Here is an 18,161-nt window from a genome sequence, read left to right as displayed (position 1 = left end):
TTTGCTCCTGCTGTATCCTCTGCCAGGAATGCCTAGAGTACTCACCCAGCTCAGCTCAGGGGCACAGCCAGTGGCTCAGCCTATAAGACGCAGCCACGCCCACCCATGCCCCTGCCTGCGCGGCTCTGAAGCCCTGCCCACAGCCTGCCTCACCCTCCTGTGTCCTTAGAAAGACAGAACACAAGGAGCTATTTATGCGCCTGCTTTATCTCCTATTCTTGAGGGTCGGATATGTGTCCTGTTTGAAATGGAAGAAAAAAGTAATGCCCTAAATTTGAGCCCAGCTCCAGAGCCAGAAACACTTGGATTTGAATCCTGGGTCTGCTACTGGAGCTCTGCAGCCTGAAGGAATGCAGGGATGGCTGCAACCTCGAGCTGTTACTTCACCTCTCTGAGCTTTCCTTTCAGCTGCCTTTCCACTCAACCTCCTGTTTTGTTTTGTTTTTGTTTTGTTTGAGATCTACGAACGCGTGTACATACAGGACTAGTTGGTTTATTTTACCTGACGTGTACTAGTGACGTGTACTAGTAAAGTAGAAAACACATTAACTAATCAGTTTCTCTATTTTCGCTCTGAGGAATCTCTGCCCTGACTGTAACTGATGAGGAATCTCTGCCCTGACTGTACTGAATATGCACATACGAACGTTCCTGCAGACCTTGTCTTTCACTTTACCTGTATTTTTCTTAGCCCTGATCTGTCCATGTATGCGGTCTTCCTCCCATTTGTATTTGGACACACTATCTCAAGCCCTTTTGGGAATGAGGCCAGGAGGATACCTATGCACACAGACACCCTAACAAACAGGCCAAACCTCTAAGGGCATGGGGACGGTAAGAGAAGGGCCTGTCCTATAGGAAATGGCCATCAAAAGCCAACTGCCAGAAATTGCTAGAACCAAGTCTCCCCATGCTAGTGCCGTGTGCTTATTTAACCTCCCAGAGCCTCAGTTTCTTTATTTGTAAAAGGGGGACAAGAATGGTGACTTCACAGAGTTGTCATGAAGATTAAATAACTCATGAAAAGCTGGGCATGGTGGCTCACACCTGTAATTGCAGCACTTTGGGAGGCTGAGGCGGGCAGATCACCTGAGGTCAGGAGTATGAGACCAGCCTGGCCAACATAATGAAACCCCGTCTCTATTAAAAATACAACAATTAGCCAGACGTGGTGGCGGGCAACTGTAATCCCAGCTACTCAGGAGGTTGAGGCAGGAGAATCACTTGAACCCAGAAGGTGGAGGTTGCAGTGAGCCAAGATCACACCACTGCACTCCAGCCTGGGCAACAGAGTAAGTGAGACTCTGTCTTGAAAAATAAATAAATAAATAAAATAACTCATGAAAGACCTTACTACAATACCCAGCATTCAGTAGGTTCAGTAGATATTGATAAACACAGGAACTGATGAATACAGAATCTGAAAGCATCCTCAAAGCTCCTCCAAAGAAATCCAGCCACCTCTCGCCCTAGTGTTGACAAGAGAAGTAAGTTCCCCAGAGGATGCCTGATTGTAACCTCGAATACTGGAGCTGGCCTACAACACTCACGAGCTTTTGCCAGAGAGTTCTGGTTCCTCTAGGAAGATCATCTTTCTTCCTGCCCAGGGCATGGGACATTTGATCCAAGCTGGCACTTGGCTGGATCCTGTCCACATTGGGCAGGCTTGTCTCTGCACCTGCCAGATACTTTCTTAGCCTGCTATCAAGAAGCCAAAGGAGGAGGCATTCTGCAGGAATGGGTGCTCAGGAATGCCTCCAAGCTCACTTCCCGTCAAAGGAGAAATCCTTCCATGTTTAAGGGGTAGAAATCCTTGTAAGTGGTAATCAAGAGAATCCATTGAAAACCTGACTGTACCCTCCTAGAGGTGAGATCTACTTTTGAGCTTTTGCATGCCTTGTGTGCTTGGGCTCCAGTATGCTGTTCCTAAACTGGAGCTGGGCAGGGCATTCATGGTCCAGGGACCTGTGCTCAAGCCAGTGTATACCCTGGGCCTGGGAGTGTAGAGGTCAGTGTCTCCTGTGGCCAGGACCCACAGAGACAGCAGAGGGGCCAAGTCATCAAAGAAGGACAAAGTGAGAGCCAGCACTGAGCTCTCAGGAGCAGAATCCTCCAGGCATTCTGGTTCCCCACAAGAGAGACGGCAGGATGAATAGAAAATACACAGGCCTGGGAGGCAGATGGACACCACTGATTAATGGCATGACTTTAAGCTCATTATTCAACATCTCCACGCCTCTATTGACTCATCTGTGCAGCCAAGATGATGATCACTATGTGGATTGACAAGACAGATGACAACAGGGAAACCCAGGTTATGTGATTAATCAGGGCAGGGTGTCCTCCCTATCACAATTTTTTAAATGCAATTTTGTAATGTCACAGAACTATGAACAACTGCAGAGGAGGCCCAAGCCTTGTTTGCTCACACAAGCTCCCCCACCCCTTTCTTGCTACCAGCTATGCCAGTCATCATGTTATTATGTCCCAGCTCTGAAGTCACCCTTCTTTGCCCTGCTTTGAAATACTGGAGCTGGGCCCTGTAAACATTTCCCCTTTGTCAGCTGGTGCAATGTTAGGCTTTGTCACAGGGGGCTCTGGAGGGATGCCCCAAAGACAGCAGAAGAAGGGGCTTCTCTTCCTGCTGCCAGAACATGGCGTTTCCTCCTGTGGCACAGCTGCCAGTGGGGCTGGTGTGCAGGAGCAGTGATGGCACTCATTCTCCAGCAAACTTCACACCCTACACCCTACGAGCCACTTTTGTGGAGTAGCTCTGGCCCACTCTCTCTCTCTCTCTCTCTCTGAGTTTTCAGGCCGCCGTCTGGGCTGGTCCTCTAGACTTCTCTGGCTCCCACGCTGGCAAATCTCCCCACCAGCAGCAGTTTTTGGTGTTCCAGCAGCAGCTGCATCCCCTCCTGAAGGTCTGGGGCTCCACTCGAGGGGGCGGAAGTCTTAGTTCCTTCATTGTTGACTCCCTCTCAGCCCTAAAGGTAGCAGCCGCTTCCTGCAGCTGCTGTTCCTGAGATCCCTGGAGTCCTCTTCTACCCTTTGTAGCACTCAGCCACCAGATTTCACCTGTTAGTAGTGTCCTGAGGCTGCTGTAACAAAAGTGCTAAAAACCAGTGGCTTAAAAACAGCAGGAACATGTTCTTCACAGTTCTGGAGGATGGAAATTTGAAATCAAGGTGTCAGCAGTGCCCTGCTCCCTCTAAGACCCCGGGGATCCTCCTGGCCTCTTCCACTGATGGCTTGCAGTGGCTTCACTCCACTCTCTCCCTCTGCATTCCATGGCCATCTTCTCCCTGTGTGTCTGCATGCAAATGTCCCTCTTCCTACAAGGACACTGGTCATATTGGACAAAGCCTGCCTTTGATTACATCTGCAAAGATCCTATTTTCAAATAAGGTCACATTCACAGGTATCGGGGTTAGGACTTCAACATGTCTTTCTCAGGGACACAATTCAACCCATAATACCAGACCCTTTGTGCTTGTTGATGAGTCATTTTCCCTGTTACCTTTTCCCTGTTCAAAGTACCGGTGTGGTTTCTGTCTCCTGCCTAGTCCCTGACTAACACATGGCCCTAATTTAACTCACCATAACTCTCATCTGTCCCAGTCCAGCTGAGGTGGGATATTAAAGAAAGAAAAGAGAAATAGAAATTAAAAGGGGGGGGGGAAACAAGCTGCCTGTGATCTCCTGCTTTACCCCGAGGTCTCTCTTGTCCTCCTGATTTTTTTTGCAACAGAGCAACCCCTAAGCCATCTCACTGCCTCCACGCCCATCCATCTACAGTCTCCTTCCACAGCACCCTGCTTAAAACCCTCCAGAGACTTCTCAGCCAGGGTGAAATCCACGCTCTGCCCCGTGGTGCTCTGCCCTGCCCCTTCCCACACTCACCCTGGACCTGCGTCTCCCCTTGCTCGCTAGGCTCCGAGCCCAACAGCATCCCCGCCCCAGGGCCTTTTTTGGGCCACTCTTTGGACCTGGCCTGAATCCCCCAGGGCATCTGCTGCCACCACCTCATCATGTGAGCCTCTGCTCTGCCTCTCCCCTCGGGGAGGCGTTCCCTGACCAACTACTGGCTAAGGCCCCCTCCTGGTCACCCGCTGTCACATGGCCTCCTGTTGTTATCCTCCCCGCATGCACCTGTACCTAGAATTGTCATGGCTGTCTGTTCTGTGTCTGCTCCCCACTCCACCCTCGGCAGCGTTAAACCCTGAGACCAGGACCAGGCACTGCCTAGCATCTCCAGCACCAAGGACAGTGCCCGGCACACAGGAGGGGCTCAGCGAGTATTTGTTGACTGACTGTTGATGTTGCAGCCTTTATTCGAGTACAAATCTACAGAATACGGTAATTACATACCCAGCATTTTAAAAATTCAGATTTTCAGAAATAACAACCACCTGAAAGAAACCCTGGATCTTGTGGGTTTTCTTCATAAACTTCAGCACCTTTGTCCTTTCTCATCAACGCTGTGGAAAATGCTGTACGGTCAGGCCTGCCGCTGAATGAAGTCACTTCCTACTGAACCCTGGGGTGGCCCTGTGCGACTCCTCCGATGGACAAGGCTGGCCCTGGCAAGGGGAACGTCCACACAGGCCTCTCCAGCAGAAGAGCAAGAAACTGGAAGGTTCTCTGATGATAAGTCCTGCTCTCTGAGAAGCAGCACAGTCAAATGTAGAGAACACAGGACTAGGGGCTGTGGTTAGAGCTTTTGCCATAGACTGAGTGTTTGTGTCTCCCCAAAATCCATGCATTAGATCCTAATGCCCAGTGTGATGGTATTGGGAGGTGGGGTCTTTGAGAAGTGGTTGACGGGATCCGTGCCCTTACACAAGAGGCCATGGAGAGCTGCCTTGCCGCTTCCACTGTGTGAGCATGCATTGAGAAGACCCAAGAAATGGGTCCTCACCAGACACCAGATCCGCAGGCGCTCTCATCTTTGGATTTCCCAGCCTCCAGACTATGAGAAATAAATTTTTGCTGTTTTTAAGCCACCCAATCTGTGGTGATTTTTTTACAGCAGCCTGAACAGACTGACAGCTTTGTTCCCCAGTTTGTCACCTCCTGTGTCCTTGGGCCACACCCTTAACCTCAGTCAGTGACAGTTCTCCCCCTGCAAATGAGTAAACTAAGGAGACCTTGCTTTGAGGGAGATGTGTCCTGTAGAGAGAACACTCTAATTAATGCTAATTAAGCTGTTTCCTAATACAAGCCAAAGTAATCATTAAGAAAACAATGTCAATGGTATTAGCATTTGGTTACACTCTTGGGAACAGCTCAGAAAATAAAAGCCTATGAATGATTCCAGAACATGCTTAGAGCTGCTTCCTTGCTGCTGCCACCCAGATCTGACTCCTTAATAAGCCTGAGAAGTCTCCACGAGGAGCTGTTCTTGCCTGGAGCCTCTGGAAAATTGACATAACTCACGACGTGTGTCAGATTGCAGCAAAGATGGAGCTCAGAGAGGTTCCATTCCTGCCTGCTCCATTTTTGAAAACCAAGAGAAACTCATCAGAGTGGCAAGAGAGTGGCCAGCTCTGAGGAAAAGAACCCCTGGGTGGACCTCAACACCCACCCCCGGCACTTTCTGAGCCACTGCTTTCCTCTGCAAAGTGGGGCTATAATCTCTACCTTCAGGGAGAACGCAGATTACAGATACTATATGTACACAGTAGGTAACCAATGAATGGTGTCAAACGTCCACCATCTTGGGGCATGCGGAGTGCAGGGATCCGGCCACAGACCCGGGCCCTCTTCCAGCTGCCCAATCAGAGCCCGCTGCAGCCCACTCCTCACCTGCAGGCCCCTTGCCCCCAACTCATGGGCAGGGTCCCTCTGAAGCTGTTACCCTCATTACTAGAATGTAAGGTCACGGGGCAATCTGTGTGGTCCACAGGTGCATCCCTGGCACCTAGAACACACAATCAAACATTCAGTAAATGTTTGTTGAGGGTCATATGAATGAATGAATGAAGGAAGCGCCCAACGCCAGCCTTTTAGCCAACATTCTCTCATCACGAGAATTTTCTAGGGGCTCAGACACCAGTCCCTGGGTCCCTCCAATTCCAAAGACACACACAACTATCCAGACAGTTCCCTCAAATGCCTCCCCCAGACTTGGGAGAGACTAGTGCACAGGCAGCCTCTCCAGAGCAGTCCCTGCACCAGCCTCCTCAAGCTCCCCAAACTCTCACCCTGCCTTATTCTCCCTGGAGTGGGTGAGGGCCCATGCTGGTAGAACAGCTCTCAACCGCCCAGGCAGAGATGGGCTACCTGACACCTTGTGCTTTCTTCAGAACCCCTCAGGGCCTCAGCTGAAGCTCAGACAGAGTGCCTGCGTGCGCGCGCACACACACACACACACACACACACAACCTAATTTTCAACACACTTGCACAAATATAGAAACATCATGGGGAAAAATGCAAAATACCTATGATTTCTGGAACAAGATCCAAGATGACAAAGATATTCCCTGCTTATTCTGCTCATGCCCGGGCTCCCCTGCCCACCCCCAGTGCGTTCATGTGATATCATGAAAAAGCAGCAGGGGTGGCATGAACTTGCACACCAGGCTGCCCAGGCTTGAGACCCAGCTCTGCCACCTAGAAGCTTGGAGCCCCTGAACAAGCTGCAATTCTGTGCCTGGGCTTTTCTGACTGCAAAATGAGGATAATCACAGCCCCTGCCTCCAAAGTGTCCCGAGGATCAAATGAGTTGATGATACTTGCACGGCGCTCGGATCGTGGTAAGTGTGCTGCATAAGTGCTCCTTAAATCACCATCTGGAGTTTCCATACCAACCTCTCCCTGGCTTCATCTTATTTTTTTCTCCCCCTCATTTTTATTCCTCTCTGATTTCCTCACGTATGTTTTTTAATCTTGTCATATTGAGTGCATCTTTGCAAACTGCTTCTAATTCTTCAGGGAACTAAATGCTGTGTTTCGTGCTCTCTTTTCCCCGTCGCCTCCTTGAATATTTAGTAAGTCTTTGTGAGGACGTCAGCCCCTCCCTGCTGGGCTGGTGGTGTCCTGGGTAAGGGGGCCGTGGCCGCCATGGGAGCAGCACACAGGCCCAGCTTGCTGGGGGCCGCACTCATGGGAAACAGAGAGGGGTGACAGTGAGAACAGAGGCAGGGACAGAGCCAGCTCCTTGATCCTGCTGCCCCTGGAAGCTTCTCCTCCCAGCATCAAGCCCAGGCAGATTTGGGGTTCTGTTGTTTAGGAGACGTGGGATTTCCTTGCTGTAAGTGGGACAAGTATCATCACTGTTAACCATCATGAATGAGAATGAAACAGAATGAGAAGACAAAAAGCCAGAAAGATGTTCTCATTCCTCTGTGCTCACACAGCTCATCAGAGAGGGTTGAGGCATGGGACCCCACGTTCTAACCCCAAGGAGTCCCCATAACCCTGTCTGCTACCCTGAGACACAGGTCCCTTCTTGCTCACATGAAGTAAGCCATCTATTTTTTTTTAATCCCCATAGAACACAAGCGGCAATGAAAAGACACAATATAAAGAAAAGGTTAAGTAGATCAGTGGTTGCCAGGGGTAAGCGAAGGGGAAGATTGGCACAGGTTTCTTTTTGAGGTGACTGATGAAGTGTTCTGGAATTGCTGGGGGGGTTACACAAACTTGTGAATACGCTAAAAACAACCAAATTGGACAATTTAAAAGAGTGAATTCTATGGCATGCGAATGATCTCTTAATTAAAAAAAAAAAAAAGCCTGCAAAAGTTTCATTTAAAACCACAGAAGGCCGGGCACAGTGGCTCATGCCTTTAATCTCAGCACTTTGAGAGGCCACAGCGGGCTGACTGCTTGAGTTCAGGAATTCGAGATCAGCCTGGGCAACTTTGTGAGACTCCGTCTCTAAAAATAGATACATAAATAAATAAATAAATAATAAAATAACACCACAGAGCCCAAAGCCCCAGACCCATCCTAGACAAGGATGCTCCAGGCCTGACGTTGCCAGTGTCTGCAGCAGGCCATCGTAGGACCTGAGTGTGCCTTAAGGGAGTGTGGGATCTGTGGCTGAATTTCAGGAAGATTCAGCTTGTATTTCTTACATGGGAAAGACCCTCGGAAAAGTAGGGGTTGATCTCCCTTCCCCTTCATCACTGGTGGTGGCACCCCCACGGGCACCTAGTGAGGCCAATAGGATCATCTCAGGCACCAAGGTACTCCACGGTCTGAAAGTATTTTTTTTTTTTTGAGACAGAGTCTTGCCCTGTTGTCCAGGATGGAGTGCAGTGTGGCTCGATCTTGGCTCACTACAAACTCTGCTTCCCGGGTTCAAGTGATTCTCTTGACTCAGCCTCCCGAGTAGCTGGGATTACAGGCGCCCGCCACCACGCCCAGCTAATTATTGTATTTTTAGTAGAGACGGGATTTCACTATGTTGCCCAGGCAGGTCTCGAACTCCTGACCTCAAATGATCCGCCCGCCTCGGTCTCCTAAAGTGCTGGGTTACAGGCGTGAGCCACCGCGCCCGGCCCCCTCTCTAAGTATTGTGATTTCATAGGATCCCCTGGCGGTCCCATGAGGGAGACAGGGCCACAGCCACTGTCCCCATTTGGCAGCTGAGTGAAGGTGGAGCTCAGAGGTGGATCCAAACCCAGGCTGGGTTTCCTCGTGGGTCGGAGATGTCTGCTTTACTTTTATTAAAACATCGTCCCGATCTGGCACACCTAAAGCTGTGTATCCGAGTGTGCCGGGCCGGCTCCCTGGGCCCCACCTGCCTTCAGGCCTCCAGCTCTTGCCTGCAGCGACCCCTGGTGGGTGCGCCGGCCTCGTCACCTCCAGGCTGGGGACTGGGCTTCCCCGGAGGCCGCACCTGGAAGGAATACGCCCCGGATAAGGCCCGCGATGGAAACGGAACCCGGCTGGCTCACTGCCAGCGGCCTGGTCAAGAAGGCGGGCTCCGGAGCCCGACTGCCGGGGGTACTTGCCCACCTCACCCGCCTGCCAGCCCTGTGTCCCTGGAGTCCCCAGCCTTTCCACCATCTCAGGCCTGGGATGGAAACAGCACTTCCTGCAGATGGCTTGGGAGGCCTGGAAGGACGGTTCAGGTAAAGTGCACCGCCCGGGGCCGAGCAGCGGCCACAGTACACACACAGGCGCTGGTGCTGCTCCTTGCTGTAGGCCCGCCCCACCTGTTCATGTTCATCAACCCACGCTATGAAATTAGTTCACTCTACGCCAGGCACAGTGGCTCATGCCTGTAATCCCAGCACTTTGGGAGGCTGAGGCAGGTGGATCGCTTGAGATCAGGAGTTCGAGACCAGCCTGGCCAACATGGTGAAACCCTGTCTCTACTAAAAATACAAAAAATTAGCCGGACATGGTGGTGCGTGCCTGTAATCCCAGCTACTAAGGAGGCTGAGGCAAGAGAATCTCTTGAACTTGGGAGGCGGAGGTTGCGGTGAGCTAAGATCACACCACTGCACTCCATCCTGGGCAACAGAGCAGACTCTGTCAAAAGAAAGAACGGAAGGAAGGAAGGAAGGAAGGAAGGAAGGAAGGAAGGAAGGAGGGAAGGAAGGGAGGGAGGGAGGGAGGGAGGGAGAGAAATTAGTTCACTCCACAAACACATCAAGTGTCCCTTGTGTGTCTGAGGCAGGGAAGGGAGGAGACCTGCCTCTTAGTGTTCATAACAAAGAAGGACCTGGACCCTCCCAGGCCACAGGAGCCTCGGCCTGCATCCAGGCCACAAGGGTTTACTAAGCACCCTGTCAGTCCTGCCAGGCGCTCAGGGACCAATGAGATCCCACCTCTGGGAGTCACTGCAGCCCAGAGGGGTGAGGGGCAGTGCCACAGAGAGGCCAGGCCTCCGTGGAAGGAGGGAGGGAGGGTGGCCAGCCCCAGGGAGGGAGGGAAGCCTCACAGGAGAAGGGCACACGTGTCCAGAATGTTCCCTCTCCACAGAGAGGGTCTTTCTCTCCAAAGCACACTGCTGCAGGCAGCATCCGTGGCCCACATAGAAAGAGGCTCGCCTTTGATCCAGCCTGAGAGGTTCCCTTTTTTGTCTCTGCTCAGAAGCGCAGCCTGAAAGGAGAGTGAGGCACTGCCTCCTTTTGAAATCATGCAATTGCTGCTGAGACCCCAAAGAAAGATACAAATTCACTGGGATCTTTCCCCAGATCTGCGTTGCTCTCACTGTAGAAGCTGTTGGGACTTTGCAACAGTATTTAGAAAACACCTAATGCCCAGTTTAAATCTTCTTCAGAAGTCTGGGGATGGGGGAAGGGAGAGGAAATTATTTTAGAATTCCGCTTCCGTGTGGCAACATCCAAAGATAAGAGAAACACAGAGAGCACTGGTGGGACCTGGGAGGAGGCAAAGATTTCTCTAAACAAGCGTCTGGGGCTTCCAATAACCAGACACTGGCTGCCACTTCAGGGTCTTGGCACCTCGAGCTCCAAGCTCCACTTCCAGACACTTGATGGCTTCCAGCCCTGGGGATGTCATTTAACCTTTCCAGGCTCGATGTCCACATCCACTTAACTTCATACATCTCCCTGCAGAGCCCACTATACAGCAAGTACATGCCCTGGAATCCAGGCCCTGCCTCCGGGAGTTCCAATCTGTGTATGGGTATAAGAGGGATGTGTCTCTATTCATAGGGGCTTACAAGGCTGGTGCCAACCATACTGGCACTCTGGAAACTTCTGAGAAGGGGCTCAAACATGTTCTGAGGAGAGGGCCCAGCCGCCTCTACCTGGCAGAAGTCAGGGAATGAGCCCGCTGTGGGTTTTTGAGGTTCTGGGGGCCACTCCCCTTGGCTGTGAGGCTTATTACCCCACTGTGGTGATGGACTGAAAACCCCCAGAGGGGGTGGGGACACACCAAGCTCAGAGACACAGCAGCAAAGTGGGGGCCTGAGAAAGCTGCCTCCCAGGCCTGCTGATCGGGAAATTCCAAACGGGAAAGGATGATTAACAACTGCGGGAGCCGGAGGAGGGGAGAGGAGAGGGACCGGACAGGGAAAAAGACCCCAGATCCTGGGCCTGCCCGAGGGCAGGAGCCAGCCTGGCCAAAGTGAGACTAGAGGCCACACAGACATGGGCCCCTTCCGCGGAACTGGCCTGTCGAGGGAGCGGGGCTGTCCCTGACACAGAGCCTGGGCTCTACATGGACACCTGTCCAGGCAGGGGAGGGGATGCTTTCTGACTGCTCTGCCTCTGGGAAATGGGGACTCCTGGCCTTTCTCCATGCCCCAATATCATCTGTGAGCTCCCTCCCACCCATCACTTGGCCTTTTAAGGAGAGTGACCCCAGAGGGCTGGAGTTCTGGGAGCCTCCAGAGTCCCGGCTTCTGCGGGTCTCAGTGGCTGGGGGGGCGGGGGGTGGGACCAGCGCTGGCCTCGACCTTGCCTTTTCTGCGTCCGCCAAATGTCCCTGGGGGCCCAGGTGATCCTCACCGCCTCCTTACCCTGTTCCTGTGGCAAGCCACAGCCTGGCCTCCAAGCCAGCTGCCCCTCCCCTCAGGAGATGCCTCATCTGGGGTCGCCCTCTTCTGCCCTGGACCCGACCTCCTGGAAGGAAGACCGAGGCGGGAGATGCTGACTGCAGGATTCAGCCAGCCCAGGGCCTGAGCCTGGGCCCTTCGGTCCACCACAGCCCCGATTTTTTAGTGTAAATATTGTATCTAAGTACAGCACATACAGAGAAAAGCGCACGAGTCCTGAGCGCACAGCTCAAATCCCACACGCATCCCCGCAGCAGCCTGCGCAGAGCAAGGGCAGAGCGCCCCCTTGCGGTCACTTCCTGTCACTACTCAACCGAGGGTGCCCGCTGCAAGGTTAGGTCTCCTGGCCTCGTGCTTCAAACAGGAATTAATAGAATCCCACCAGGTGGTGTTTGTGAGGCGTAGATGGCGAGGATATCTGCAGCTGCAGTTTGCTCATTCTCACGGCTGCACTGCATTGCACTGTGTGAGCAGAACACAATTTATCCTTCCACTGCTGATGGGCATTTGGGCGGTTTGCAGTTTGGGATCTGGCCAGTTCTGCTGTTGTGAGCATTCTTAAGCCTGCCTTTCGGTGAATTCACACGCCCGTGGGGTGAGTATGTGCCTGGGGTTGGGATGCTGGGTGGGTGTGTTCCAGTTCAACATTGCTGGCAGGATTGTTGTCTATTTCACTCCCCGCCATATTCCACCACCTCGAATTGTGCCTGGAATATCATAGGTGCTCAGTAAATATCTGTTGAAATGAATTCTCTCCTCTTTTTTTTTTTTTTTTTTTTTGAGACAGGGTCTTGCTCTGTCACCCAGGCTGGAGTGCAGTGGCACCATCATAGCTCCAGGGGACCCTGGCTTGCCCGCCTCTGCCCTCAGCGCCCAGCAGAGAGCCTGGCACATGAGGAGAGAGAGGTTTGAGGGGAGAGGAAGGAGAGGACATTCACACCCCATGACTGGCTGCCCAAGGCAGGACAGCAGGGGTCCAGGAAGGTGGCTGGGAGGAGGAGGATGACTACGGCCGGGAGCTGGGTTCCGCTTGGAAACTGCATCCTGTCAGGCCCTAGAATCTGTCAGACACACAATCACGCGATGAAGGAGACGTTGGTATCAATTAACTCGTGTTCAGTGAAGGCCAATCCTGTCCAGTGAGCAGATTACTTGTGTCTGCCAGGCAGGGTGTGGAGGCGAGGGGCACATCGTAGCTGGATCTGAAAGCTGCTTATTGCACCCAAATCAGCAGCTGACGACACCTCCCATTCAGGCTACCCAGAGGTCTGACCGATGACCTGCCCCTGCCCCAGGATGTGGGGCTGCCGGGTGAAACGCAGTCTTAGCAGCTGCAAGGGAGGGCTCCAGCCACCATGCCAGAAGAGGCTTACAGGGAGAAGGAGCCGGAGAAGTAATGTGACCAGTGCCGCTGATTCTTAGTGAGCTGAGCAGTTTTGTCAGGTGGGGGCCACCCTCAGAAACAAGCCAGCCTGCGTTTCCCCGAGTCAAGAGAGTGCCGTAGACTACAATGTGCACGGGCCCGGGAGGAGGGCAGCGCCACAGCCCTGGCCACGGGGTCAAGGGGAAGGCTAAGTAGGTGGGGGCAAGTGGTCACAGCGCTCATCAACGCCCGCCCTATCACAGTAGACTCATCTGCGGCTCCAAGTGCCAAGGGTGAGGCCAACCCAAACCCACTGCAGTCAAGGAATCCCGGAAAGAGAGAAGGGGGGTCTCACCAGCGGCTGGAAGCAGAGCGGAGTCCGCTGCGCTCCCACAAGGGCCCTCCCCGCCAGCCCCTGTGGCTCAGGGACAGTGAGGGGCTGGGCCGGTGCAGGAGGGAGCTCATTTCTCCCTAGGAGGGAGACAGAGAGGCTAAGTGGGGAGGAACTGAATGTTCTGAAAAGCTGACGTGGCCAAGCGCCCAAGGAGACCACAGAAGTGCCCCGTGTGCCTCCTGAGCCACCAGCCGGCGGGGGTGGCACCAGGCAGACCTCAGCTCCAGCCCACTCTGCGCAGGTGGAGTCCCCGTGTGTCCAGGGGCACAGCCACGCCCGCGCAGGGGGTGACCCGAGGGCCTGGAGGGGCAGTTCAGTTCAGCTCTAAGTCTGAGGCCACATTCTCCCTATTTCCTTGAACTAATTTCTCACTTTAACTGAAGACTTAAGTATCTCCTACAAAATTGCTTTGCCCTCATGGGCTGGGTTTTGGATTTTATTTTTGAGAGAGTGAGCTCCAGAAAACAACTTAGAATCCTCTTTTGTCCCTTGGCTGCACTCCCCAGGCCGCCAGGGAGGAAAGGCCCTGCTGCTTCCTGCAAAGGCTCTGGGTGCCACCCCATGTCCCTGCAGACGCACTCCTGCCCCATAGCTGTGCCCGCAGGAAAAGGTGCCCGAGAGAACCTTGACCCTCTGGCCAGAACCAGGCAGGCTTGCAAACTCACTGAGTTCCACCAGTTCAAACACAAGCATTCAGCCAAAACAAATGGAGAACTGATAGGCACGGAGGTCCACAGCATATTATTCACGGATGCGTTCATTCATTCCAACATTCATTCATTCATTTTCCCAGGCCGTGCTAGGAGCTGGGACACAGCCCAGTCCTGGCCCCTGTCTTGAAGCTGCGCACCCACACTGGAGGGGCAGACACAGGCACTGCTTCTACATGCGGGTGCAAGGAGGCAGTGTGGAGCAGGAGCGGCCCCTCTACCTCCCAGGGCCTGGGGTGAGGAAGCTTCCTAGAAGGGCTGCCATGGCTTAAGGGTTGAGTGTCAGCCAAGGTAGTGGGGGGCAGAGAAGCATCCTAGGCAGAGACAGCCAGAGAGCAAAGTCTTCCATGCAACACGCTTGAAGAACTTGGGCATGGCGGGAGCACAGAGGACAAGCCCTGCCACCTCGCGAAGGCATGTGGACTTCACAGTGCCGCCACGGAGAAGCTGAGGTTTGATTTATGCCACTTTTAGGTGGTCAGAGGGACTGTTTGACCCGACTTCTCATCCTTAGAGGAATCCAGGGATGGACTTCAGAGCTCACCTCCAAAAGAGATTGGAAATGTAATCACGTACAGTGTCAATATGTACACCTACTATGTACCCACAAAAAATTAAAAATAATAATTAAAAAAAGAGGCTGTTGCAATAGCCCAGGCCAGAAATTCTGGGACCTGAACTAGGATTTGTGTGGAGAGGAGAACATGCCACTTAGGTTTCAAATTTGGCAGGATTTGGTGATTGACTCAGTGAAAGGCAGAAAAATTGTTTCTAATCTCCACCCCCCAACACCGTGCCTTCTAACAAGGGCAGTTCCTGGTAAGGACAGGATCTTTTGATTGGAGAGCAAAAAGTCAACACCCTTGGTTATTATGGCTTTTGGCCAAATTATAGGCAATAGCAGGCAATGGAAGGAGGAAAATGAGAGTCTGGAGAAGCAGGGCAGAGCCCACCTGCTCAACTAAGAGAGGGGACAGGGCTGTGAGGCACGGGTGCTCCTGAAGCTGAAGAAGCCAACAGCGCTGGGAGCTGCCTGGGGGCGGGAGGTGTCCATGAGCCAGGATTCTGGGTATGAGTGGCCCAAAAGAGACCCTGGGAGAGAGGACATCAGGGGAACAAACAGCTGAGGAGGTGGGCATGACACAAACCCTTCTCCCAGCCCAGAGCCTCTCCAAAAGCTCAGGCCAGATATCGCCCTTTTCACAACACCGGGTAAGCAGATTCTCTCTTGGGGAATGAGAAGGGCACGAAGACCTGTTGAAGCCAGTGCAATCCTGGAAAGTGCCTGGACAGCACCCCAGAAGAGAGGGTGACCTGGGTCACTGAAGACGGGGTGGGGGATAACACTGTTAACGTGATGATACATCAGCTGTCCCCAGACCACACCAGCATCTGGAGTGAATGAAGCGGGCACCCTAGCAGGCAAGGAGGAAGCCCTGCTTTGCTGGTCATGCATCCCAGGCTTCCGGAGTGCCCCTGGGAATTTCCGAACACATCCATGCACTTGTGACCCGGGGGCCAGAGCCAGGGGTCATTTGGCTTTGTGCCCCCTCCAAAGCAGGGGTTTCCAGTGTAGCACATTTGTGCCCCAAATTCTCAGAGGTGTTTTATTCGCAGCGCCTGTCCTCAGAAGAATCAGACATGATCCAAAGGGGGCTGGTAGGGGACACTGAGACAGCAAGGCTGCACCATGCCCAGTGTCGCCTGCCCCGCACAGGCTAGCAGGAGACTGGCACTGTGCTGCCCCTTCGTCCCAGCTGCCATCTGCATGGGCGGAAGAGTGCCCTGGGCCCTGGTGGTGCAAGGAGGGCGGGAGACAGACCCTCGCATTCCTCTGGTCTCAGGGTCGTGGGCCTGGGTGGAGGGGGCACACACCCTACTGGAACAGGGTGCTCCAGGCTGTGCCCATGGCCTCGACACTCTGCACTTCTTAAAGGGGAAATGACAAACGGCAGCCTGTTATTTCTCTTCCTCACCCTCTGAAACTACTTCCTGCCCATTGAATTTCTGATACATTTTAATTGAAAAATTGATATACAGATAAAGCAAATTGGGGGTAGGTTGGAATGAATAGTTGGAGCACAGAGGATTTTTAGGACAGTGAAACTACTGTGTCTGATACTATAAGAGTAGATGTGTGTCATCTCCATCTGTCCAGACCCATAGAATGCACAACACCAAGTGTGAACCCTAATGTAAACTGTGGGCTCTGGGGGATAATGAGGTGTCAATGTAGGTTCATTGTAACAAACATGCGGGCTGCTGCGGTGTGGGATGTTGATAGTGGGGAAGGCTGTGTGTGTGGCAGGGGGAGGGGTTTTATGGGGAATTCACTGTCCCCCTCAACTTTGCTGTAAACCTAAAACTGCTCTAATAGACTAAATGAAGTCTATTAATTTTATTACATTGCATTAAAAAAATAAAAATAAAAAGATTAAACTTTCACAAACTTTTTTTTTACTCTAGTTCTAAAGAATTGCAAGAAAAAAAAAATTTTTTTTTTTTTGAGACAGAGTCGTACTCTGTCACCCAGGCTGGAGTGCAGTGGCGTGATCTCGGCTCACTGCAACCTGTGCCTCCCAGATTCAAGTAATTCTCCTGCCTCAGCCACCTGAGTAGCTGGGATTACAGGTGTGTGCCTCCATATCCCACTAATTTTTGTATTTTTAGTAGAGACGAGGTTTCACCATGTTGGCCAGGCTGGTCTTGAACTCCTGGCCTCAAGTGATCTGCTCACCTCAGCCTCCCAAAGTGCTGGAATTACAAGTGTGAGCCACCACATCCAGCCCTTATATTTCTTCTGAAAACCTACACTTTCATTAAATTTTCAATCACTAAACTTTATTAGTATGTGGCAGACACTGTTGTAGACAGATGTTGCCAGCACATAGGAAGGTTCTCCTCTGTTCCCTCATGGAGGCTTCATCCTAGTGAAGACAGATGATAAACAAATAAATATGTAAATAAGGCTGGGTGCGGTGGCTCACACCTGTAATCCCAGCACTTTGGGAGGCTGAGGAGGGCGGATCATCTGAGGTCAGAAGTTTGAGACCAGCCTGGCCAACATAGTGAAACCCCGTCTCTACTGAAAATACAAAAATTAGCCAGGTGTGGTGGTGCATAACTGTAGTCCCAGCTACTCAGGAGGTTGAGGCAGGAAATTGCTTAAACCCGGGAGGCGGAGGTTGCAGTGAGCCGAGACTGTGCCATTGCACTCCAGCCTGGGCAGTAGACCAAGACTTCATCTCAATCAATCAATCAATCAGACACATATGAATTCTGATCAGTTCTGAGGAGAAACTAAACACCAAGTTTGATGAACTGCTCACCCGGGGGCACTGTCACTTCAGATCACCTGGTGTGAGAAGAGCCTGAAGAGGTGGTACATAAGCTGAGACTGCAGTGATGGAGGCAGCAGGTCGTGCCAAGGCCCGAAGGCAGGAACCAGCCTGTTGTGTCTGAGGAAATGAAAGAATACTGCCATGAACAGAGGGAAAGAGGGAGGGGTTTGAGGTGACGTCAGAGGCAGGCTCTTAAAGGTCTGCTCAGGAGGGCAGATTTTTCTTCTATGTCTTATAAGAAGCCACTGGGAAAGGTTCTGTCTGTTTAACAGTTTTATTGAGATATAATCCACACACCATATGATTCACCCAATTAAAGCGTATAATTCGACCTGGCACAGCGGCTCACGCCTGTAATCCCAGCACTTTGGGAGGCTGAGGCAAGCAGATCACCTGAGGTCAGGGGTTTGAGACCAGCCTGGCCAACATGGCAAAACCTCCTCTCTACTAAAAATACAAAAATTAGCCGGGTGTGGTGGCAGGCGCCTGTAATTCCAGCTACTCGGGAGGCTGAGGCAGGAGAATGGCTTGAATCCAGGAGGCAGAAGTTGCAGTGAGCCAAGACTGCGCCATTGCACTCCAGCCTAGGCAACAAGAGCGAGACTCCATAAAAAAAAAAATCCATTATTCAATGGTTTTTAGTAAATTCATAGATATGTGCAACTGTCCTCTCCCAACTCCCAGCCCTAGACAGCCACAAACCTACTTTCTGTCTCTATAGACTTCCTAGTTCCGAACTTGAATATGAAAGTAATCATGTGGTTATTTTGAGTCTGGCTTCTTCCACTTAGCATAATGTCATCAAGGTCAATCCATATCGTGGCATGCCACTGCGCTTCCTTCCTTTTAATAGCTGAATAATATTTCCG

The 18,161-nt window shown here is 52.1% G+C and overlaps 1 protein-coding gene across 3 annotated transcripts in view, besides 3 other annotated features; it reads left to right on the top strand.

The window, feature by feature from the left end:
- Positions 3,975–4,475: an enhancer, noted in NCBI's record as "H3K4me1 hESC enhancer chr2:10979932-10980432 (GRCh37/hg19 assembly coordinates)". NCBI's record gives its function as "activates a minimal SCP1, AML or CMV promoter by ChIP-STARR-seq in primed H9 embryonic stem cells {active_cell/tissue: H9 hESC(primed)}" and the evidence as "EXISTENCE:reporter gene assay evidence [ECO:0000049][PMID:30033119]".
- The window catches only part of PDIA6 (protein disulfide isomerase family A member 6), a 54,322-nt gene continuing 42,729 nt past the window's right edge, over positions 6,569–18,161 (top strand). For 2 of the 3 annotated variants that reach the window (NM_001282706.2, NM_001282704.2), the window contains exon 1: positions 11,796–12,079. Coding sequence is in view for 1 of the 3 variants with exons in the window: in NM_001282705.2 (NP_001269634.1) it covers positions 6,676–6,757 (82 nt within the window). In the remaining 2 variants the exon portion in view is untranslated. Of the gene's footprint in view, positions 6,758–11,795; positions 12,080–18,161 lie in introns of those variants that run through there. The other variant, NM_001282705.2, reaches the window with a different exon arrangement.
- Positions 8,516–9,016: an enhancer, noted in NCBI's record as "H3K4me1 hESC enhancer chr2:10975391-10975891 (GRCh37/hg19 assembly coordinates)". NCBI's record gives its function as "activates a minimal SCP1, AML or CMV promoter by ChIP-STARR-seq in primed H9 embryonic stem cells {active_cell/tissue: H9 hESC(primed)}" and the evidence as "EXISTENCE:reporter gene assay evidence [ECO:0000049][PMID:30033119]".
- Positions 12,651–13,151: an enhancer, noted in NCBI's record as "H3K4me1 hESC enhancer chr2:10971256-10971756 (GRCh37/hg19 assembly coordinates)". NCBI's record gives its function as "activates a minimal SCP1, AML or CMV promoter by ChIP-STARR-seq in primed H9 embryonic stem cells {active_cell/tissue: H9 hESC(primed)}" and the evidence as "EXISTENCE:reporter gene assay evidence [ECO:0000049][PMID:30033119]".

The sequence above is a fragment of the Homo sapiens genome, chromosome 2 (assembly GCF_000001405.40).
Source record: "Homo sapiens chromosome 2, GRCh38.p14 Primary Assembly".
In the NCBI taxonomy this organism is placed as follows: domain Eukaryota; kingdom Metazoa; phylum Chordata; class Mammalia; order Primates; family Hominidae; genus Homo; species Homo sapiens.
This window is presented reverse-complemented; position numbering and strand designations above follow the sequence as displayed.